Here is a 25106-nt window from a genome sequence, read left to right as displayed (position 1 = left end):
GTTCATTCATGTTGTAGCATGCATGGGTACTTCATTCACTTTTATGACTTTATAACATTCCCTGGTATGAATATATCACATTTTGTTTGTCCGTTCATTAACTGATGAACATTTGGGTTGTTTCCATTTTTGGTTAATTCAAATAATGCTGCTATGAACATTTATGTCCAAGTGTTTTATACCCAGAAATGGAATTTGTAGGTGATAACTCTGCTTAACATTTTCTCCACATCCTTATTTGTACTTGTCTTTTTTATTTTAACCATCCTAATAAGTGTGAAGTGGTAGCTCATTGTGATTTTGATATACATCTCCCTAATGAGTAATGATGTTTGAGTATTATTTTTGTGTGTTTATTGGCCAGTTGTATATCCTCCTTGGAGAAATACTTAATATTTATTTGGAGAAATGTCGATTCAGATCCTTTGCTCATTTTTTTGATTGGGTTACTTGCCTTTTCATTGTTGGGTTAAAATTTTTTTATGTAATACAAATTCCTTACTAGATAAATAATTTACAAATACATTTTTTTCATTTTGTGGTTTGCCTCTTCACATTCTTGCTGGTGTCCTTTGAAGAATAATTTTTTAATTTTGTGATAAATGTAAGGGTTTATTTTTGCATCCTTGATTCTATTCCATTATTCTGTTTCCATTCTTATGCCGGTACCACACTATCTTGATTACCATAGAATTATAGTAAGTTTTTAAATCAAAACATGTGAGTTATCCAACTTTGTTTGTACTTAGAATTTTTTCTTCCAATCTGAGCTTCTTGATTTTCCATATAGATTTTATAATCAGCTTAATTTCTTCAAAAGAAATTACCTGAGATTTTGATAGAGATTTTATTGAATCTGTAGATCAATTTTGGGAGTATTGCCACTTTAGCAATATTAAGTCTTCTGATGCATGAACATAAAATAGCTTTCCCTTTATTAAAGATTTTTCTTTAATTTCCCTAAATTAAAGATTCTTCTTTAACTTCTTTCAGTAATGTTTTATAGTTTCATGTATAAGTACTGCACTTCTTTTGTTAAATTAATTTCTTCATATTTTAATCTTTTTTAATGCTATGGTAAATGGAATTGTTTTATTAGTTTACTTTTCATATTGTTTATTGCTAGTATATAGAAATGTAATTGATTTTATATCTTGATCTTGTATCAATTTAACAGTAGGCACACCGGCCACACATGTACAAAGATTAACAGAAAACTCAATTTACTTGTGAACAGGTAAATTCTCAAGTAAAAGATGCTTATTTTTTCTTTTATCTCTTAAAAGTGATGCTTAGAATTACATTTTCAACCTATCTTAATTTTGTGTTTGTCATTGAAAGACATTGTCAGATAAGACAGAAATCAGAATAATGGGTCGGAGCAGACAGACGAGAACAGGTGGCATAAACCATGGTCCTGGAGGCCTGAACATGCTTTGTTCTTCATGGCCCTGACAGTTACCCTACAGTTTTATGCCATTTTCATATTATTCTTGCAATTAGAGAACATTGAAGACAGAAACAATTGTATTACTTAACAACATGCTAGAACAATAAGGCAACAAATCTTAAGTCTTAGTCAATGTGCTGTTTTCAGAATGTTTTTTTTCTAGGTTATAGCGAAACCTAAAGAAATAAACAATTTTGGTTCAATCTGTGCTTCTTGTTTTACACAGTTTTGGTATATTCTCCCCAAACCACTTCTGCTCTTATTCCCTGGGGACCCTATTTCATTTTCAATCTTAACACCATTCTCATTTTCAAAATCGTTCATGCAGCACACAGAAATAGAAATGTAGGCTACCAAAGTCAAGCTGAAAAAGCAACTATCCAGTACATCCCCCATCCATAAATGACCGCTGTGACACTATCATGCTTTGCACACACCTCCCTTTCAGCCCTCTTCACAGTCTATTACAGCCATTCACTCACATATTTGTCCCCACAAACTCTTATAGAAAAGACCCATGCCATTTTCATCACTGCATCTCTAGAGCATGGAGCACAATGGCTAGCCCTTAGTGCATGCTTAGAAAATGTTTTCCAACTGAGTATGTAAAGGGAATTTCTTTTGAAACTCTCCTTTACCCTTTCTAAGTCTCAAAACAGCTTTACAAACATAATTGCTTTGGCATAATTTTTCTAAGCATTTCTTCTGACATTTCTTTTGGGAAATAATTTTACCAAAAGTCAATAGAGTTATTGAGCACCTGCTGTGTGGAAGACTCTGCCAGATGTTATGGCACATAGAACAGAGCTTTTGATCTAGCTGAGGACACAATGTATGTAGGTGATAAAAATCAGTGCAAACGTTGACTGAGCACTTACATGTGCCAGGGATGATGCTTTGATGAATGTAACTCATTTAAGTCATGCAGCAAATGAATGCAATGGGCACTAGTCCTATTCTCTCTGACAGGTGAAGGAATGGCAGGTGAGCTATGTCACTTGCACAAGGTCACTCAACTTATAAATGGCTAAGCCAAGATTTGATCCCAGGCAATCTGACCCCAGGACATATTTAGTTAACCAACAACCTCTTTCGCACATACAAAGTCACAGATGATAATAGACAAGTAAATTTTTTTATTCCTCCAGAAATGTAGGGGGACAGATGATCACTATAGACCAGGATGTTCACTGAAGGATTCAAAGAGATGATAGATTTCAGTAAGCTGAAAAAAGCTGAGCCAAATTTAAACACAGTAACAAGGAACTCTAGACAAGGGGAAACTGTGAACAACACTAGAGAGCTTGGTGGGGGGTTCAGTCATTCTGAGGTAATGGTTAATACTACCCAATGTACTATTCTGGGCAATGAAGATAAAATAAGACAAACTGCATGTTCTCATGGACCTTACATAACAAACAACAAAAAAATAAAGACAGACTTGTCTAGTGGAGAGATGTGCTATGAAAAAAGTAATAAAGCAGCATAAGGAAACTGAAACAGACAAAGGATGTGTTGCTATGTAATAAAGTGCACACAGAAAACAGCCTCTCTGTGAAGGTGACATCCCACCTGCCACCCATAGTAGGAAAAAAGCAGGGAGACATGTGAAAACCAGTGAATTAGGCATTTCCAGGGAGAGGAAACAGAATATCCAAAGGCCCTGAGGTAGAGCATTCTTACTGAGTGTGAAGAAAGTGAGGGAACCAATATGGCTGGAGTGCAGCCAGTGAAGAGTAGAGAGGTGGGAGGTGATACCCACAGGGGCCAGGATCTGTAGAGTCACGTAAATCATTGCAGTCACTTTGGATTTTTCTCTGCTGAAGACTTTCCATCAGCTTCCCATCTGACTCACAGGAACAATACATGAGTCTTCCATTTCAGAAAGATCACTCTGGCCAAATGCTCCTAGAATGAAGGAGTACATGAGCAGGTAACCAGGGATGCTTGAGGAGAGGTATTCTTGGCCAGCTCATGTAGAGAATGTTCGTGTAGAGAAGCAACAGAAATTGAAGCTGAAGACAGTTGATTGGGAGTCGTCTTTGTTGCCATGCTGGCAAGCTTAGACTTTGACTGTGTGGCAATCAGAGGGTTTGCGGAGGACACTACATCACTACATGAAATACATGATATGATGCTCATATTTCCTGTTCCAAATGTCTTCCTGTTCTATACATATCATAGGCACTGATAATATTCAGAATTTTTTAAGAAGTATATTTGACTAGGTGAGATACAGGAAACCAATGAAACACAAAACTATCAGGGGCAGCACTGTCAGTGATCCTTAACAGGTAAGACAAATTCAAATTTTATTTTAATAATACCAGACATCTTCTGAGCATTTACCGTATGTTAGACACTTGGATACAAACTTTCTTTGGATTAGGTCATAAGAACTTAAACAATCAGGTGCATCTTGATTCACAGTTGTGAAACCCGAGACCAGGAGAGGTTGGGCAACTTAGCCGTGTTATAGTTAAGAAGTGGTGAGGCTTGGGAGTGGGCATGCTAATATTCTGCATTTCTTTTTAAATATTACCATACTCCAGTATAAATATTTAAAACCAATTTACTTCACCCAGGTTTATGAACAAATTCTAGCAACTCCTAAGAATTTGTCTATAAGGAATAAACTGATACCTCTGTAACACCTAAACTGGAAACCTGTGTTTAGAGCTTGGGAGAGAAAGAGGAGGAATAGTAGATCAACTAAGAGACAGGAAGAGGAGAAGACCTAGAAGAATGTGGTTCCTGCATGCCTCGTTGGTGATATTGCACCACAAAATAGCAATTTGTCATAAAGCAAAATTTATAGTTCTCAAGAAAAAAAAACATTAAAATGTTTAGTTTTTCTTCACAGGATCTTAAAACATTCTAAAAATCACTAAGAATATTTGGTGAAGATTTAGTTCTCACCAAAGGTAACTAAAAATGACTTGTCCACAGTCCCACACATGATGAAGCTTAAGCTGTACTAACCTCACATACTCCTCTCCTATCTTGGGATTTATTTACTTTTCCAACTCCGAATTCCATATCTGATTAGGAGGGCAGCCACCATGACAGAAAGAACCCAATTTTGCATCTTAGCCCTCCAAACAAAACTACATTTTACTCCTAAAGAAAACAGGACTTCCTTTAGGCTTAGGTTGCTACGTTGAACTCTGCAGGCTAGAGAGTTTTTCCAACAAATGAGCCTAACTCAACTTTCACCTTAGAAATCAGAAATAAGAGTAATCCATTCTTCACATTAAACATACAGCATATAAGCCACAAACAGAGTGTCAGAGAATTTCTTCTTGACAACATCTTGTATTCATCAGTTGGAATTCATTTAGCAGAAAAGACCCCTTCTGTCCCTATGAGCCACCACTTCTAGCCCTGCTATGACTAAAGCCGATTCCTGTTGACACAGCTCATTTTTGTTTTCTTATCTGTATAGTAGATAGATTCCTACCACATAAACACCTCATGCATGTTATGTCAGGTATAACTGGCAAAAACATTGTTTTCTTATACTAGTTTGAAAGGAAACTAGATCAGCTGTAGACAGCTTTGAAAAATTGAGTGCTTATTAAATTTAACAGCAGCAACAAAAATTTTGTTGTCCATCTTTTCATGAAGGGAGTAGAGAGGGAAACTAGCTAATTCAATATGAATATGATAGAACACTGCTTAGGACTTTCCAAAGAATTGAATGGGAAGGGTATGAAGCATTAAAAAGCAATGAGACAAGAGAGCAACCTGGGCCTGGCATCCTCACGTCCCTCCTCCTCTTAGCTTTGTCTCCATAATCTACCTATGTCTCCAATTGATTATGTATTTATCCCTCTAATTATCTTTCTATTTACATGTATGTGTCATTTACCATCCATATCAATTTTTAAAATGTGTATGTAGGTATCTGCTCATTTGACTCTCTGTTCTTATGACTCTCTGTTCTTATTTTAAAATTTTCTTTATTTTACAGGCATACATTGGGCACTTATTGTTATTAGTCAGTCCCTCTATTAGTAGGGATATGATAGTCAATAATGTAAACACCTGGCCTCCATTAGCTTACAGTTAAATGGAGACAGACTGACAAGTGACCCTAATAACACTTCAGTGGGATGAACTCTTTCACGCAGTCAGCACATGGTGCTGTGGGGACATGAAGGAGTGATGTCTGAAGGATACTTGGTGGATGGATAGGAATTAAACAGTCAAGGAAGGGAGGAGGAACAGAATGCAGAGAGAATAGGGTGCATCATGATGTGCAGAAGTAAAAGGAAAGTCAAAATCTGATTAATCTGAAAAGTTGTCTGTATTAGTCCATTTTCATACTGCTATAAAGTCTATTTTCACACTGGGTAATTTATGAAGAAAAGAGATTTAATAGTTCCACAGGCTTACCATAGTTCCACAGGCTTATCAGGAAGCATAACTGAGAAGCCTCAGGAAGATTACAATCACGGCAGAAGGTGAAGGGGAAGCAAACACATCTCCCATGGTGGAGCAGGAGAGAGAGCAAGGGGGGATGTGCCACACTTTTAAACTAGCTCATGAGAACTCACTCACTATCATGATAACAGCATGGGGGAAATCCACCCCCTTGATCCAATCACCTCCCACCAGGTCCCTCCCCTGGCATGTGGGGATTACAATTCGACCTGAGATTTGTGTGGGAACACAAAACCACACCGTATCAGTGTGTGTAGGACCAAGTTAAATTTTTGCTTCATCTCACTATGGGCTTGCTTCTCAACAAGAGACATAAATGTAATGTAACTGGAACTCCACCCAGAGCACCTACAATCCAAACATAAACATGCAGTGTGGTTTAATTCACATTCCCGGAAATAGGAGAATGCTGATGTCATGCAAAACATTCAAACATCAACACAGACTTGAGTATATTGTCAGGTTATATGATAAACACAAACCCGGGAGGTTGTTTGGCAATATGTGGAAAACAAATTACTGTTAACAGAGCCAACTGGTGGAAAAAGGCAAAAATAAACAAACAAACAAACAAAAAATAGATACCAGGAAACAAAGCAGGAAAGTCAGCCCAGCACTAGTATTGTATTATGTATTCCTTATTACTGCTTGGAGAATTTGTGTTTTCATGTAATATATTGCTATCCCAGGTGAAAACAACTGAGAATGTCAGTTGTTATCCAAGTAGGATTAAGAATCTGGTTTCTACACTGAAGTGTCGATCTAGCACGTTTTTCTCTTTGGATTCGGTCTTCTAAACACAGCCTATTAAAAGATGATTTAATTGGCATTTTGTTAGAAGGTTAATGAAAACTTACCAAAAATAGCTTGTGAAGGAAGTAGATAGGAACACAAAGGAAAAATACATTCTAATAGCACAAATTATTTTCTTTCGTTCAGGCTTCTTTTCGGAGGCAGTTTTAAAAATACTGGGTCAATAACTTAGCCTTTGGCAGTCTTGCCTCTCCAGTGGCCTCCATTATTGCTTGAGGGTTCTCTCTAACTCCTGCTCCATTCTTCTGCTTACATATTGTTGGCTAAAAGGCTTTTTTATTCACCCAACAAATCCTATTGATGGTGCGTTGCATATTTATCCTTGCCACACACAACTGCGGTTTGATTCTTTTCTGTTTGCCACTTTCCCAAGAAATTACATTTTCATGTGCATCCTTTGAGAACTGTTTATAAATCCTACTTCTGAGAGGTTTTGCTACAGTTGACTTTTATTCTTTTCCCAAACACAAAGCTCCTCATTGTCTATCCTGTGCAGAGAAACAAAGGTAAAATATACATGTAGTGCTCACCTCCAAAGAATTCATTGTCTGGTGGGAAAATGAGATAAATAGAAAATTATAATAAAATCAGATATGTGAAATGTTAATGATACAGAGTCAAAGATAAAGAAAAAGTAACACAGGCTGAGAGAAGGGCGAGGGGGAGTTCTCAATTCACAATTCACACTACCCAAAACACAGATGGTTTTATGTCATGAAAAGGAATCAATCCTGTGAGTTAACTCAACTTACCTAATGAACTCCCCATTCAACTCCCCATTTGAATACTATCTTTGCATTGTAATTGTATACTTACTTTTATCTTGAAGCCACCAAGAAGCCATTAAAAATTTAAAATAAGAGTCTACTTATTTTGACTTCCACCTCTTTCTCTAGCTGGATTTCTCTTCCTGCTCTACCTTGGATTCTTCTATTCACATGAGCCTTGCTCCTTCACTAAACCGCAAACCCGCACTTCTCTCTCTGAAGCAAGTGGAGCAAGTAAGGAGGCTACCAAAGTCTGACTCACAGAGAACAAGAGGTCAGCACACATCATAATCACCATCATTGTCACCGTAGCAACCATCACGTTGGTTGAGCATTTAGTAAAGATGTGTAGTGGGTGGTATGTGCATTTCACCAATATCCTTAAGAAAGCTTTATGTCACCTCTATTAAGTTGGAATTATTCTCTTTGTTTTGTAGATGATGAATTAGGTGCTCAGAGAGTTCCTGACACTTGCCAAGGTCGTTCGGCTGGGCAATACCTGAACCATTTGGACATAGGCTGGGGACGTGGGCCAGATGCTGTATTAATCAAAACTGGAGCTCACAAGATTTGCCTGATAGTGAACCTAGGACTGTCATTTTGGAACTGCTTAAATCCCACTTTTCTGTTTCAATTCCAAAAGCCCTGGCTATGAGAATGAGGGAGAGGCCAAGAGCACAGAGCAGGCAAAGCTGGCAAGACAACCGCAGGTTCTCCCCCTGCCACTGGAGGGGCTCTTCTGCCCTTGCTGCTCACCAGTCTCTACTCTCATCTTGTTGAATCGGCTGCTCAGTCTCCTGTGGCACAGCCATATGTATTCAAACTCATGTAGGCACAAAGGGCCTGGTGGGGATTGAAACTCAGGTCTCTGAAGTGGCATAATGTGTGCCCCTTTGCTCTGCTAAGGTTACAGGTAATGTATTAGCTGCAAGTTCTGAGTGTCAATTCAGCTTTTTTCTGGCTACCCAACCTTCTGCCAGGTGCTGGACAATTGCTCTCATGATGGTCCAGTACTGCTCTAAGCCTGAGTCTCCTTCCTGTCCCCTGTGCTCCAAGATTGATAACTAGATTGCTGCCCCAACCCTTGGATTCAAGCCTCTTTTAATAACCCATTACTCCCATGATCCCCAATCTTTCAAAGACTGAGCCCCCAACTTTCCTTCTTGGCTATCCTTCTATCCTCAAATAGAAGCTTCCGCAAAAGCCAAACATGTAGCTTGAGCCCAGCTCCTTGATGAAAGAGCTGAGGCTGCTAACTTGCCACCCACTAATTTCTAAGCCTGTCCTCCCTCATGTTCTTGTTATTCTGTCTTTCCTGTCTGCCAAGCCTTATTTTATAATCTCACATTTCACCCTGATGCTAATAAATAGGACAAAGACCAGGAACCCCATAACTGGCAGAATAAGATCTCAACTGTTTAACATAGAGAAGGTGTGCTCATGATGACATAGACCCCAGCAACCTCTTCAGCCTCACTCTTCCCGTCACAGGCTATGCCGACCTGAAATGACCCTGGCCCACAAAACAGCTTGAATTTTCATGGATGCACCATGCTGTTCATACCACTGCCCATTTTTATTTATTGAGATTTTTTTAAAGCATTATCGAGGCCTAATTTGTATACAATAAACTGCCCATATTTAATGTATACAATGTGATGATTTTGGACATACCTGTGAAGCCATCACCACAATATTAAGGCAATGGCTGGGTGCGGTGGCTCACACCTGTAATCCCAGCACTTTGGGAGGCTGAGGCAGGCAGATCACTTGAAGTCAGGAGTTTGAGACCAGCCTGGCCAACATGGTGAAACCCCATCTCCACTAAAAATACAAAAATTAGCCGGGCATGGTGGTGAGTACCTGTAATCCCAGCTACTTGGGAGGCTGAGGAAGGAGAATTGCTTGAACCCAGAAGGCGGAGTTTGTAGTGAGCTGAGATCATGCCACTGCACTCCAGCCTGGGTGACAGAGCGAGACTCTGTCTCAAAACAAACAAACAATAACAAGAAAAAAAAAACACCAATATTAAGGCAATAAACATATCCTGCACCTCTAAATTTTTCTTGTGTTCTTTTTGTTTTATTTGCTTATTTGTTTATTTGGTAAGAAAACTTGACATTAATTTTTTAAATTCGTACTAGAGTATTGATGACTATAGGCACTATGCTGTACAAAAAAATCTCTAGAACTTATTAGTCTTGCATATATGAAAACTTATACAATTTTGTTCTACTTTTTAAACTTATTCATCCTTCAAATCTAGAGCTTAGTTCACCTCCCCTAGGAAGGTAAAATGTACCTTTCTCCTTGAGAAATGATCTACGTGTGTGTGTCTACTATTTACTGAAAGTCTGCACTATCTCTGCTTCTTTCATGAATTTCTGTCTTTGCATTTGCATGCTCCCAGAGTTCTATCCAATGGGTACCTTGGCAGGAAAGTGAGCTGAAATCCATTTGACTAGTTAGCTAGCTTATTCCAGGGCTATAAAACAACAGTCCCAGGGGCCTGTATGGTTGTCAGACATTTCTAATAGATCATAGTTCTCTTTCCTACTGAGCCAGCCCAGGATCTCAGAACTCTTTGTAAAGTTATGCTGCAGGCAACCACCACCAATCAATGTGAAATGGAATATGAACTTATTTTCATCAAAAGATTCCATGAAAACAGTGAGAAGGCAAGTCCCATCTTGGGAGAAGATATTTTCAATGGACATAACAAAGCATTAGCATCCTGATCTTACATAGAATGCCTCTAAATAAAGAAAGAAAAGAGATGGCACATTTGCCGTCTTCACTCTAGGAACATTCGGATGGGAGAAATCTTGAGTTTCCTGACCTCAGGGCTTACCCTTCATTGACATAAACAACAGGCACCATAGGAACATGTGACTGTTTGATGTCAACAGCAGGTGTGAGTCAGGCTTATGTGCCACCCGCCCCCGCCACCCACCTCAACTCAGCTCACCTGCTTTGTCCTAGAGCCAGCAGAGTCCAGGCTGCTGTTAACAACTTCATGTCCCCGTGGGTAGCAGGCAGGTGCTTCTGTCTGATCTGGCTCTCCTTGACCACTGTACTCATCAAATAGACCAAGATCCCCAGAGTCCAAGATCCTTACAAGGGGGCCAGAAAGGGATGAGCTTTCTGAAGAAGCACTGATGTAAAATACCAGGAATTTTGACATCGAAGAAGATTTTTGTGATGGCAGCTGGGATTTGGCCATAATCTAGAAGACACATGGTGAATACAGTTGCAAGTCATTTAGTCATATTTCTTGCTAAATTGCTGTGTCTTCAATGGTGAGTCTGTTCAACTTTACTTTTGTTATGCTTCCCTCAATCACGAAAAGGACAAACTTCTCAACAGACTGGTCCTGAGTAAAAGTGACCTGAATTCTCTGATAAAGAAGAGGGAAAGATTCGGCTGGGTAATGCCAGGTTTGTCTCACTTGACAGTACAATGTAACTAGTTTTGCCATAATGTTGTGAGAGGAGATATGTGTGGGCCCAAGACCAGAATGGTGGAACTATGCAATCAATCGTAGATTTATAGCATTGCATGCAACAAAATGCCCAGGTTTGGTGTCAGGAAGCCCAGGTTCAGGCTTTGCAAATCCTACGATTGGGAATCAGTTCCTTAACCTCTCTGACTTTTGGCTAACTTGATTATAAAACCACGTAAAGAAAGGCTTTTCATATGGTTGTTCTAGGGAAAAAAATGAGATAATGACTATAAACCTCACAGAAGTGCAGGCACATAGTAGATGCTTATTGAGTAGTGGTTTGTCTTCTCCTATTCCACTCCAAAGGAAAAAGAAGAGAAAAGAAAAGAAAAAGATATGTATCTCTAATGGGCCAGCTGGCCATAGACTAACTTTAAAAATGCACTCTTAGGAAGTAAACATTAGCAATATATATTCAGAAACGACTCTTCAGGAGAATGGCACTTATGTATGATGGATATGCAGGAATGTCAACTCTCTGGGGCTGGAACACATTGCTGCATTCTCTGTAGAACTCTAGCACTTAGTTCAGCAGCAACACAGAACTAATATTCTATGAAAAGTGATAAAAGCATCTCTGGACAAAATACAACAAGCTCCTATCAACTACAGCCAGCAAAAGAAGATGGACAGCATGGTGCCTGGCATATGGCAGATGCTCAGAATGAATAAATTAGCAGGACTTTGAAAAACACACAGATGCATGGCAAACCAGGTAGTGCATAAAATTAATAATCATAGAAAGCAATGTGCTATCATTCACTGAAGGTGCTAGGCACTTTGAAACACTCATTTTCTCAATACCTAACTTGGAAAAAAAGTCCCCATTTTATACATCAGAAAACTAAGACCAAGAGAGTTTCTCCAGCTTACCAAGTATAACATGGTTAATACATAATGAAGCAGGAACTTGACTGTCTCCAAAGGTGTTTTTCTTAAGACTCACCTGGCCCAGGACTGATGGGGACAAGATCTGAACGGGCAGTGAAGGGGGGAAGGTGGGCTGTTGTCATGAATGTCCGGGGTGGTGGTGACTTGAAGAGTTTGGTGACTAAGAGGTGGATTGTGGCACAGGGTTTATGGGCAGACGTGGGGGCTGTAGTGGCATCAGGGCTCTTGCCATGAAAGAGGTCTGGCAGAGGCACCCCCAAGACAGGCAGCTGAGGAGACAGGAAGCTGTGGCTATCACCTGGGGATAGGGGAAATAAAAGCCAATGCCATAATTGACAGCTATAACCGAAAGGGGGGCTTGGAATTGCTGGTGGATTATTTTCCCTCTACATTGAAGCTGCTCATTTGTCTTCTTAATCTTGGGTTGTGCTTTCTGAAATCTCCTGCACTAGAAATTTCCTAAAATGAAATGTCAGAGCCTTTACTGTCCTATTCACTCCCGCCAAAAGGGAGCAGCATAAATAATTCATATTATTCTCTTTAGGATCATGTTGGCAAAAATATATTAGCAGATATAATTGTCTGACACTTCAAGGAAGTGATGTTTTAAAAATAGGAACCCATGAGGAGGGAGAGAGAGAAAAAACACCTGACTCACTTGGCTTCCTGTGGCTATTTATTTTAAAGATAAGGCTTTTTTTTTTTTGGTCCTCGAGTTGCTGTCATATATATATTTATAATGTGCAACACACCTCTTCTAGGTTCTTAATTCATCAATTCTCACCTCTTCTGCCTCTCCTCTACAAGTTTAGTCTTTGATTGCCATGGAACTTCAGAGTTAGATGGAATGTAAAAGGCTAGTCCCCATTCAGAGCTTGAACCCCTGTCCTTGGGTGTTTACTCAAATTCAAACAAAACCACTCAGTGACAGTGGAAAACCCCCTCGTCTCACCACAGGACTTTTCCAAGTTCAGTCATACCATTTCACTCCTACTTAAAAACCTGTAGCTTTTTCACTTGTCATTAAGATGAAGTTCAAAAATCCATAACAGCCTTGCCAATCTCTCTCTCACCACAGGGCCTTTGCAGGGGCTGCTAGCTTTGTGTGCTCCTCAAATCCTGTTAAATCCGCCCAACCTTCAGTAATGTGCCAGATGTAGCTTAAATGAGCTCACAAAGACTGACTGTTAAATTTTCAGACATTTTATGAGCTGATTGTTCAACAGAGCTATTATTAAAAATGAAATTACATAAACTCATAAATATATTAAAAGCAAAGGTAATAAATATGCAAAACTCATTACTTTCTAATTATTTTCACCACATTGTACTCTATAATCTTGAGGTCATTTTTGTATAATAAAAATGCTATATGATGGTGGCTACTGCACTTGTCTTCCCAATTCCACATTCATATTGATTGCTTGAAATCAGCCATAATGAGGACATTTACAACATGAAAATCAGCAAACACTACTCACTAGGGCTTGTCCCCTGCCCCACCACTCAGAGAGACCGTTGCTAATCCTTTAGGAACAAACCACTGCTTCAAACTCACCAAACTTCAGACTACGTTAGATTTGCATGTGGTATGATTTCACAGGACTGAATTCCTTTCTTGCAAAGCCTTCTCTTTTTGTAGTTACACTTTAACAGTAACTGATACTACTACATGTATGGATTCTGCCCTCCATGAGAGCAGAATTCTTGACACATTTTGCACACCATGATGATATCGCAGCAACAAAAAGGATGCCACACTCATAAGAAATTATTGGTTAATAACTGTAGGGTAAATATCAAACTCAAATTGTTAGAAACATTCAACATGAGTGGAAATCTTCAGCCCCTTTTAAGAGAGAATAACAAAATATCTTAACAGATGAAAGAGAGTTCCTCTTAGGAAGAATCTGTCTTTCTTTGAAGTAACATTCATAAGTTGAGGTTATAGAAAAAGCCTGAGAATTGTGATTACCAGAAACTAAGGAACAAAAGATGTGGCTAAAAACCCCTGCATGAGAGGAGAGGAATGGGTAGCCCGGTGGCATGAGACTGGAGGACTGGGAGCCCCGAACCACCCGGGGAGAAATCCCCTGTGGTTGCATTGCGAGAGACTGTCTCAGAAAAAGAATATCTGATAGTTCATTTGAAGTTTTTGTTGATGAGAAGTAAATAATTCTTTTTCTAAAACTAATACATAATGATTGTGCAAATTTCTGGAGAAGTTGGTTAATGGGTACAAAAAAACAGTTACATAGAAGGAATATGGTCTAATGTTTGATAGCACTGTGTGATGACTATAGTTCACAATAATTTATGGTATATGTCAAAGTAGCTAGAAGAGAACATATGGAATGTTCTCAACACAAATGATAAATGTTTGAAGTGCTGGATATTTTAAATACCTTGATTTGATTATTACACATTGTATGCGTGTATCACAATGTCACGTGTACCTAAGAAATCTGTAGCTTTCCTTCCTAACTAAACCTTAGTAAAGTCCACACACAAAAAGATGTGTGTGTGTGTATGTGTGCATGTGAGTGTAAATTAATTAAGCGAATGAATTCCATGCTTGAGATGGTACCATGGGGAATAGATACAGTATGCATGTGATGGTTAAAAAAAACCCTCATACACTGAAATGGTTAAACGTACATATGAGTTGTAAACCAGAGGTGACCACAATGAAGTAAGAATAGACCCATATGAAACTCTCAGTAGTTCTGGAGTTTCCAGTACATGAGGCATGTACGATTTTGATCGGTTGGGTTTTTTCCCTTTGATCTCAACGTGCTGGGAGATTGGGAACATGTATTTCAGCGGTGGTTCTATTTCTAAATCTATAGAGTAGGACATACTTCACTTGTAGTTGCAACTCCCTTTTGAGGTAGGGGAAAGGGAAATTTGGAGCCACCCAGAAATGTATTCAAATGCAAGATTAAAAATTCAATGTAGAGTTCAAGGTCATTATATTTATCCAGCAAGAACCAATGAAGGCTGAATGGGAATGAATAGTAGGCAGATTTTCAGATATATTTTGGAGGGAGCACAATCAGTACGACTTGACAATAGACCAACATTGAAGGTGAGGGAAACAGATGAGTCATATAATGACTCTCAGAGTTGAGGGCATGCTGGTATCACTTAGTGAAATGGGGGAAAACTGCAGGAGCACCACACCATGGAAGGAAATTCTTTACAATGTGAGGTTCAATGGTGCAGTGATGAGCCAGGGTGGCCGCAGATGGTGGCTATGCAGACCGTGAGCTTGCCAGGTAGGTGCCCAGAAACACTCATGATGCAGTGGCGTGACTAGGGCCCCACAGCCACTGCCAACACAGCCACTGGCCATATCTTTTGGCTTTTAATCATCACCTCACATTGTGCTACTCAGCATCCTGTTGGTTTCTTTGGATAAACTTAGAGGTTTGATTCATATAAATCAGTGTCTATATTTCAAATCCATTTGTTTTTCAAAAACAAATGGCAGTAAAAGTATTGTCTTGATACTGAATATAGTAACCGTTCTGGAAAATTTCCAACATGCATCTTTTGTGATCTTTCATATTTGCAAGAATTATACCTTAAACATTTAATGAAACGTGGTCAAGTAAATATCATGGGGAAAAAGTTAATGGGCAGGTAATTATACATAAATTATATGTTTCAAACTTTTGCAACGTTCCTTACAGTTCTTACAGTATAGAGGTTTAAGGGACATCAAGAGCAAACCATGACAGTATTTGACTTTCCATTTCTGATTGTTTCACTTGAGATAATGGCTTCTAGTTTCATCAGTGTTGCTTCAAAAGGCATGATTTCATTCTTTGTTATGGCTGAATAGTATTTCAGTGTGTGAGTGGGTATGTGTGGGTGTGGGTGAGTGTGTAACATTTTCTTTATTTATCCCTTGATGGACACTGAGGTTGACACTTTGCTCTCGTGAATGGTGCTGCAGTAAACATGCAAGTGAGGGCCTGTTTTTCAAATAACAATTTATTTTCTTTTGGGTAGATACTCAGTAGTGGGATTACTAGATGAAATGGTAGTTTTGTTTCAGTTGTTTGAGAAATCTCCATACTGTTTTCCATAGAGGCTGTACTAATTTACATTGCTACTAACAGTATATAAGACTTCCCTTTTCTCCACACCCTCTCCAACATCTGTTATTTTTTGACTTTTTAGTAATAGCCATTCTGACTGGTGTAAGACCAGTAAAAGACAATCCAGACCCTAAATTAAAAGGTACAGAGTGCCAAACAGGACACAAAGAGAAAAATTCAGAAGAGGAAGCAGCCATTCTCACTTAGCAATGATCCAAAGATTTGAGTATGAGATATTAACAAGGATTATATATTATCAGGAAATTAACAGAAATCATCATATAAAACATGCATCTGGGTTGAAGTTCATGGCAAAAGATATGATTCCACAGAATAATTAATTGCTGTATAAAGTGATCAAACTTGGATACGTTTAAACATACAAGTCAAGAATAATATCAAAGGTATATGCTAAAAATATAAGAAAGGGGCCGGGTGTGGTAGCTCACACCTGTAATCCCAGCACTTTGGGAGGCCAAGGCGGGCAGATCACGAGATCAGGAGATCAAGACCATCCTGGCTAACTAACATGGCGAAACCCCGTCTCTACTAAAAATACAAAAAAAACAAAATTAGCCAGGCGTGGTGGCAGGCGCCTGTAGTCCCTGCTATTCAGGAGGCTGAGGCAGGAGAACAGTGTGAACCCGGGAGGTGGGAGATGGCGCCAATGCACTCCAGCCTGGGTGACAGATGGAGACTCCGTTTCAAAAAAAAAAAAAAAAAGAAAGAAAGAAAGAAAGAAAGAAAGGATACATCACACACAGATCAGTGACCACTGAGGTGATGGCAAACCTGCAGCAGTTCTTTGGTAAAGGTACCTGTTGACCAAGGGGAAGCCAAGAGATTTTGCTTCAGGCATCATGTCATGTTATTTCTCAACACTAAGGTCAACTATTATAAATGCTTTTAGCTACACACACACACACACACACACACACACACTCTTTAGAATAAAATGTTGCTTTGTTCCTGTTTGTTCTTCACAATAGAACAATGGAACACCTAATTAAAAACTCATGGTATTTGTGTATTCTTCTAAAAACGTTTGGCAAATATTGTTTTTGGGGAGACAAGAGAGGTTTTGTGAAGGAGTTGCATCATGGTTTCTCAGTGTCATCACTCCTGACATTCAGGGCTGGATAATTCTTTGTTGTGCTGAGCTGCCCTGGGCTGCCCCTCGCACTGTAGGATGTTCAGCAGTAGCCCTGGCCCCATCAGTAGATACCAGAAGCCTTTCCCCAGTTCTGACAACCAAATATGTCTCCAGACATTGTACGATACCCTCTAGGAGGCAAAATATTTTTAACGTAAGACTGTTTTCGTGTCTATCCATGTGTACCTCTAATTTGGTGGTTCTCAACCTTGAGCACAGTATGCAGAATCCCCTAGAGAGCTTGTTAAAAAAAATTGCTAAGCCCCATCTTCAGATTTTCTGATTCACTAGAACTGGTTGGGGCCCAGGAATATGCACTTCTTATAAGTTATCAGATGATTTTGATGTCACTGGTCCTGGAACCACTGTTCTAGTTTATTTCTTCTCTCTGCTGCCTGGTGTTCCATTATTTACATCTCCAGTATTTTACTTATTCGTTGCTCTAGTGTTGGACAGCTTGGCTGTCTCCACTTCCCTCTTCTCACGAACAAGGCTGCAGTCAGCATTCTGATGACTGTCCCCTCACCCTTTGGGGTGTGACTTTCTCTAGGTCTATACCCAGGAATGGCACTGCAGGCCCATAGGGTGTGTAGATGCTTTATTTCAATAAGTGCTGTCTGATCACACTTTAGAATAGCTGATCGCAAGGTATGCATAAATAGCTGTATCCCCATTTAACAGAGGAGGAAACTATGAAGCAGGAATTTAATTAGACTGACCCCCTCCAATTCCACCATTAACACAGCTAGTGAGTGAATGTCTTGGTGAAACCCCAGTCTCACTCCACCCTGCTGGTAACTGACGAAATGATCTTTCAGTGGCCTTGTGTTCCACCACGGAATTTTCCACGACTCTCAAGCTGACCTTCAGTATGAGCCCCACCTGCAAACTGTGCTTGTTTAACCTCCTACTCATGTCCTTAAGTGGGCAGAAAGATCAGTTATTTTGCTGAGAATTTTGCAAGTGAAAAGAGAATGGCTCTTGCTCTATATGAGTTCCCCACATAATTGACTTGGATTTCCTGGGTCAAATTTCAATACTTTTACGGTTTGAGAATGAGTTGTTGCCACATGTCCCCTGTGCCTGCTTGTGAGTCTCAGGCTTCTGCACTGACCACTACATAAAGGAATGCCTGGGATACTGCTGTGTCTGAGGAACAAACTCCAGACTTGATGTGATGATGCTCAAAAGATACCTATTGCATTTTGGCCCGTCACTTGCTATCTGGCCCTAAAGAAACACGTATTACACATACATGTCTGTTACAGGTAACAACACATTTTCATAGCAACAGTTCCATTTGATCTCTAACCTTCCTGCTAGGTAACAGCAAGCAGGCATTGTCATACCCACGGGAAGGATGCAGCTCACAAAGAGGGATTCTAAACCATGTGGTTTATCATGGGTGGAGGTGGAGGGGCATGTCTTTCCCACTTCAAACTACCCTAAAACCTCTGGGCTTCAGTTCTTGCAATTATATAATTGAAAGGTTAAAAAGGTTGTTTTAATCTTCATTAATAATAATTCTACAACTGAAATCTTCGCTCTACCCTGTTATGGGTTAATTATGTCCACCTGGAATTCATATGCTGAAATCCTAATGTCCAGGACCTAGGAGTGTAACCTTACCTGGAAACAGAGCAATTGCAGATGTAATTAGTTAAGATGAGGGCATACTGGAGTGGGTTGGGCCCCTAATCCACTATAACTGGTGTCCTTACAAAAAGAGGAAATTTCAACACAGATACACACATAGGGCCAGGCATGGTGGCTCACGCCTATAATCCCAGCACTTTGGGAGGCCAAGTCGGGTGAATCACGAGGTCAAGAGATCGAGACCATCCTGGCCAACATGGTGAAACCTTATCTCCACTAAAAATACAAAAATTAGCTGGGTGTGGTGGCAGGCGTCTGTAGTCCCAGCTACCTGAGGCGTGAGGCAGGAGAATCGCTTGAACCCGAGAGGCAGAGGTTGCAATGAACCAAGATCTCACCACTGCACTCCAGCCATGTGAAGGTAAAGGTGGGGGTCTAGGGTGATGCTAGCAGAAGCCACGGGATATCAAAGATTGCCAGAAACCCCAGGAGCAAGTAGAGGCCTGGAACAGATTCTCCTTCACAGTCCAGAGAAGGAACCAGCCCTGCCCACACCTTGCTCACAGCCTCTGGTCCCCAGAACTGTGAGACAATATATTTCTATTGGTGTCAGCCACTCTGTTTGTGCTGCTTTGATACAACATGCCTGGCAAACTAACAGATCTGCAATACCGCATTTATAGGAATCTCCTTTTAAACGTTTTTTCTTTTTTCTTTTTTTTTTTTAGACGGAGTCTCCCTCTGTCGCCCAGGCTGGAGTGCAGTGGCGCATCTCGGCTCACTGCAAGGTCCGCCTCCCGGGTTCACGCCATTCTCCTGCCTCAGCCTCCCGAGTAGCTGGGACTACAGGCGCCCGCCAACACGCCCGGCTAATTTTTTGTACTTTTTTAGTAGAGAAGGTGTTTCACCATGTTAGCCAGGATGGTCTCGATCTCCTGACCTTGTGATCCGCCCGCCTTGGCCTCCCAAAGTGTAAACTTTTATTTCTAAATGTCCTACAGAATGTGTTTTTCGCTGGGGAGGGGAAATGGGGATGGAGCATTTTCTTTCTACAGCTTGGATTTATGGGGGGGTAGTCACTTCTGATGGCCGAGGAACCTGCACGGGCGTCCTTGCAGATGCTGTGAAGGAGGAGGCTAGGGAGGGGTGGGTGCCCTCCGCTTCCAGTTCCAGAAAATATCTTGCCCACACTTCTTTACCTAGAATTCACACTCCACCCAAATGAAGGCTAGGGCCCAGGCCATCTGGTACACATAACAAATGATAATGCAAAGATGTGAGCCCTGGCCTGGTGCAAAGCCAGAGGAGAGGGGACCCTGGCAGAGTGGAAAGGGTGTGCTCCAGTCAAGGCATTAAATCGAGTGACCTTTTAAAGGCACATCTCACCCCGCGGGCTACAGTGAGCAACCCCTGGTTAAACAGTTCTATCCCTACGGTGCTATGGGACCTGGGGAGGCATTATGCACCTTTTCTAGTCTCCTGGGCCCTCTCCTTCGCAAGGAAAACAGACTGTGAGCTCAACTGATAGAAGGTCAGAGACAAACCCACAGGCCTCTCCTCCTCACCCCTTCTTCACAGGTGTCCGTGACTCCGCCCTCTTCCCTGCCTCACAAATAAGTTCTTCCACCACTGCCCTCTTAGGTCTTTGAATTTTTCAGTCTCAGATAATTGAGATTAAATAGGCTTTCTCTTCTCTCCCGTCACTAAGCCTCCTCTGAGGTCTGCTGGATCACTAGGAGAAGGGGAAGTTCCCTTCCCACAAAGGGGATAGGGGATTAGCAATAAAACAATGGGACAACATGAGCCCCAGGCTGTACCTGCTCCTGCTTTTTATGGATGATCTCTAAGCAAATCCATCTCTTCTTATCTGGCAGTGTTTGCCGTAAAATAAATTCATTCATTCATTCCTCTCTTCTTCCTAAGAGCTGTTTCCTCTCTAAAGCCCCATCTGATTTATTCTTTTATTCACACGACCTTGGACACATACAGGGTTGCTGTCCATTGTTCTAAGCCCTTACCATACAGCAGTGGACAAAACAGAAAGAACTTTCTGCCCTCACTGGACTTACATTATAATAGGCAACGAAAAAAAAAAACTAACTAAAAATGTAATATCAAGAGTGGCGTATAGTATTCCAGAAAATGACTTAAGCTATAACAACAGGAAAAGGTAGAGAAGGATGAGAAGGATTCAAATTCTGAGCATAGGGAAGACGGGTTGTAGAATTACATAGGATGGCAGGATAAGCCTCTTCAAGAGCGGGACATGTGAGCAACAACTTGAAGGAGGAGGCGAGGGAGTTATCCATGCAGGTATCCAGCAGAAAGCATCCTGGGCAGATGAAACGGTGAAACAAAGATCAAAGATGGGACTGTGTTGTGTGCATACATACATTATATTTGTATAATGTTAAATATGTATAAATATTAAATATATAGTAATGTATAAGCCCTTATACAGTTCCTTTAGTCCAATAATAAGGACTTATGCTGAGAGCATCCCCCAACCCCGTCGACTCTTGGTCTGAAATATCGCGCAAAGCATCTTATGCTCTTGACAAGGAAGAACTTCCTGCTCAAATAGCTGCTTATTAATCCCTGGGCAAACTCATATATCCCACCCACACATAAAAGTTACCAAAGCCACGCTGCCCTGCCTTCTCTCTCTCTCTCTCTCTCTCTCTCTCTCTCTCTCTGACTCCTGTGTTATTCTCAGACCTCTCCAGGGAGCACTAGCATTTCAGTGAACACAGATTAATGTGATCTAACTGGAAGAGACACAAGAAATCCTGCAATCTAGTTATTCCCGAACAAGCTGTTTCAACAAACCTGTGTTATCTACTATGTACAGTTAAGTAATATGGTGTGGGGTAGGCATGATTATTACTAATAATGTTGTTATTACCGCACAAGGGTCTCAATGAACAAGAAATAGTCCCTGCCTCAAAGAAGTGGATAGAAACGCAAAAATGATTTCCCATAATACCATAAGAGCCAGCATTTCCTCAAGGCTACCTACATTCCAGGCAGTTTCCCAAACACTTTCTTAGTGTTATTTCTCTTAATCCACACATCACTTCTGAGACAAGAGCCTATTCATATCCATAAAGTCTTAAGGAGAGAGAGATTCAGAGAGACCCACAAGTTCCTCTGAGTTAAAAGGATTATTAAGTGGGAAAAGTAGAATTTAGTCTTTATCCATTTGATCCCTAAACTTCTTAATATACTCCACTAGCATAATTAGAACCTGAACCAAATGTATACATAAGTGTTACTGAGGCAAGAGAATAGGGTCTGGAAGCACGGATCGTAAGCACTTCCTGGAACTAAATCAAAGGGAAAACCCCCAACTTTCTATGCCCAAGTAAATAACTTTGTAACTTCACTGCAGCTATGACAGGAAACATCCTCTTCATTTGCATGTAGCCTGTATACCAAGTAAAGAACTTTGTAACCTCACTATACCCTCTTCATTTACATACAGCATACACCAAGTAACCAATAGGAAATGTCTAGAGGGGTTGTTTTTTTTTTTAATACAGAGTCTCGCTCTGTCTCCCAGGCTGGAGTGCAGTGGTGTGATCTCAGCTAACTGCAACCTCCCGGGTTCAAGCAATTATTGTGCCTCAGCCTCCCAAGTATCTAGGATCACAGGTATGCACCACCACACCTGCCTAATTTTTGTATTTTTAGTAGAGACGGTGTTTTGCCATGCTGGCCAGGCTGGTCTCGAACTCCTGACCTTAGGTGATCCACCCGCCTCGGCCTCCCAAAGTGCTGGAATAACAGGCGTGAGCCACCACGCCCTGCCGTCTAGAGAGTATTGAAACCCCAGAAAATTTTGTAATGGTGCTCTTGAGCTGTTTGCTTGGGCCCACTCCCACCCTGTGGAGTGTACAATAGCAGATCTCAATAAATCTGCTTTTGTTGCTTCCTTCTTTACTTGCTTTGTTTGTGTGTTTTGTGTAATTCTTTGTTAAGAATGCCAAAAACCTGGACACCCTCAACTGGTAACATTATGAGAGCAGAGAAGAGCAGGTCATTCACCCCCTGCTATGGAGAAACAGAGTTATCGAAAGCTGCATAATAGTGGGTCACTAGGTTGACAAGTGGAGAAAGGACATTCTTGTGGAGGAAACAGCAGGAACACACGCAGAGAAAATGGAAAGCACATAAAGCCCAGCTGAGCTAGCGGGAGATGGGGCTGGAAGGGGATGTTGGAGCCATGTTGGTGAGAGCCTTGTGTTTCATATTTAGGAGCTTAGGAGCTTGGATTTTATACTGGGGGTCATCAAAATTCAATCCCATTGAATCTGTGACTTGGTACATCCTTCTTCACCAAATTGGTGAGTTGCTCTCCCTCCTTTCCTCTTGCATGTTTACCTTATCATATTTATTTACTTATTTTTGAGACAGGGTCTCTCTCGCTCAATCTGGAATGCAGTGGCATGATCAGGGCTCACTGCAACCTCCATTTCCGGGACTCAAACAATCCTCCCACTTCAGCCTCCCGAGTAGCCGGGATTACAGTCGTATGCCACCTTGCCTGGCTAATTGTATTTTTTGTAGAGATGGGGTCTCACTATGCTTCCCACGATGGTCTCAAACTCCTGACCTCAAGTGATCTGCCAGCCTTGTCCTCTAAAAGTGCTGGGATTACAGGCATGAGCCACTGCCTGGCTGTTTATTCATATTTTTATGCCAAGCAGTATGTCAGGCTTTGGCAATACAATATGCACCTGTCAACCTTGGTTGTTTGGTTGGATTGGTACTTGCTTGATGAATGTGTAAATAAATGTGAGCTCTCTAAATGCAGAGGTCATGCCGTGCTCCTTCTCCCTCTCCTGGTGCTTAGTACAACGCCTAACATACAACTCGATAATTACTGTTTAAATGAAAGATAAAGCAAACAAGTGAATTAATAAGTTTATAAATGAATGAATGTATGAAAATATAAATGTGTGGACAAATTGACTTCATCAGCAAATGAACAAAAGAAGAAAATGTATCAATATTCTACCCTATCTTTCCCTATAAGGAGTGTAGATTTTACCTACACATACCATATGTTCTCTACACTTCTTTCCACTACAACATGACTCAGAAGTAGCCCATATTCTTGGGGAGAGAATTATGTCAATGTGTTCCTTTTTAATTTTTCAATAAACTTTTAAAATTTCAGATGATTGTAGAGTCTCATGCAGTTTTAAGAAATAAAGCAAAGATCTCTGTGTGCCCTTTACCCATTTTCCCCCAGTGGTAGTCCTTTCAAAACTATTATACGATATCACCATCAGGGCATGCAGTCGATACAGTCAAGATACAGAACTTTTCCATCATCACCAGGATGCAGCCCTTCTATAGCCACACCCAGTTCCCTCCAGCCCCCAACTCCCTCCTCAGAGCCCCCACCTCCCTCCTCAGTCCCTGGCAACCACCTGTCTGTTCTCCATTCCTATAATTTTCTCATTTCCAAAATATTATATTAATGGAATCATATATAAGTAATTTTTCTTGATTGACTTTTTCACTCAACATAATTCTCTGGAAAGTCCCCCAAGTTGTGTATGTATTAACAATTCATTCCTTTGTATTGTTGAGTAGTATGTGATGATACAAATGTACCAGTTTATTTAATCATTCAGCCACTGAAGGACACTTGCATTGTTTCCAGTTTTTAATATTATAATTAATTTGTGTACCAATTTTTGTGTGAACATAAGCTTTCATTTCTCTGGGATAAATGCCCAGGAGTGCAATTGTTAGTTGTTATTTTTTTAAGAAACTGTCAAGCTGTTTTCCAGCGTCCCCGTACAATTTTACATTCCCATCAGCAATGTATGTGTGATCCATTTTCAACATATCCTTGTCAGCATTTGGTGGTGTCACTATTTTTTTTTGTATGCATTTTTGTTCAGTTCTTTATTTTCATCTCTCTTGTGGTTTTTCTGTACCTCATTACGTTTTCATAGTACAGTAGAAAGTAAATGGTACACGTTTTGCGGAGGTTTTTAAAGTCATTCTAATAGGTATGTAGGGATAACTCATTGCAGTTTTTTAATTTTCATTATCTTAATACCTAATGATGTTGAACATTTCATGCGCTCATTTGTCATCTGCGTATCCTCTTCCGAAATATCTGTTCGTATCTCTAGCCTACTTTCTAATTTAATTTTTTTCATCGGGTTTTGAGAAGTCTTTAAATAATTTGTAGTGATGTTCCTAGTAATCTTTCATTCCTAGTCATGGTAATTTGTGTTCGTTTTTTGTCAGCCTTTTCAGAGAAACTTGTAAATTTTATTGATCTTTTTAAACAAACAACTTTGTTTCATTGATTTTTTTTCTGTAATATATTTTGTGTTTTGATTTGTTTCTGTTCTGT

At 40.3% G+C, this 25106-nt stretch overlaps 1 protein-coding gene and 1 long non-coding RNA gene across 8 annotated transcripts in view, besides 3 other annotated features; one reads left to right on the top strand and one right to left on the bottom strand.

The window, feature by feature from the left end:
* LINC02498 (long intergenic non-protein coding RNA 2498) overlaps positions 1–7712 on the bottom strand; it is a 71347-nt gene extending 63635 nt beyond the window's left edge. For 4 of the 6 annotated variants that reach the window (XR_925377.3, XR_925378.3, XR_925379.3 and 1 more), the window contains exons 1-2: positions 7526–7712; positions 6754–7197 (exon numbers count right to left, since the gene is read on the bottom strand). This is a non-coding gene — a long non-coding RNA (long intergenic non-protein coding RNA 2498). Of the gene's footprint in view, positions 1–2566; positions 3359–6753; positions 7198–7525 lie in introns of those variants that run through there. The other 2 variants (XR_925376.2, XR_925375.2) reach the window with 2 other exon arrangements.
* Positions 7713–10456: 2744 nt separating this feature from the next.
* The window catches only part of CLNK (cytokine dependent hematopoietic cell linker), a 248452-nt gene continuing 233802 nt past the window's right edge, over positions 10457–25106 (top strand). For both annotated transcript variants that reach the window (XM_011513775.3, XM_017007684.2), the window contains exon 1: positions 10457–10775. In XM_011513775.3, coding sequence (XP_011512077.1) covers positions 10773–10775 — 3 coding nt within the window. In that variant the 5' untranslated portion in view covers positions 10457–10772. The remainder of the gene's footprint in view (positions 10776–25106) is intronic.
* Positions 12894–12943: a silencer, noted in NCBI's record as "silent region_15282". NCBI's record gives its function as "represses an Ori minimal core promoter by ATAC-STARR-seq in GM12878 lymphoblastoid cells {active_cell/tissue: GM12878}" and the evidence as "EXISTENCE:reporter gene assay evidence [ECO:0000049][PMID:35858748]".
* Positions 17427–17476: an enhancer, noted in NCBI's record as "active region_21320". NCBI's record gives its function as "activates an Ori minimal core promoter by ATAC-STARR-seq in GM12878 lymphoblastoid cells {active_cell/tissue: GM12878}" and the evidence as "EXISTENCE:reporter gene assay evidence [ECO:0000049][PMID:35858748]".
* Positions 17627–17756: an enhancer, noted in NCBI's record as "active region_21319". NCBI's record gives its function as "activates an Ori minimal core promoter by ATAC-STARR-seq in GM12878 lymphoblastoid cells {active_cell/tissue: GM12878}" and the evidence as "EXISTENCE:reporter gene assay evidence [ECO:0000049][PMID:35858748]".

Source organism: Homo sapiens, chromosome 4 (assembly GCF_000001405.40).
Source record: "Homo sapiens chromosome 4, GRCh38.p14 Primary Assembly".
Classification (NCBI taxonomy): Eukaryota; Metazoa; Chordata; class Mammalia; order Primates; family Hominidae; genus Homo; species Homo sapiens.
Note: the sequence above shows the minus strand (reverse complement) of the source record. Positions and strands in the feature narration are given on the sequence as shown.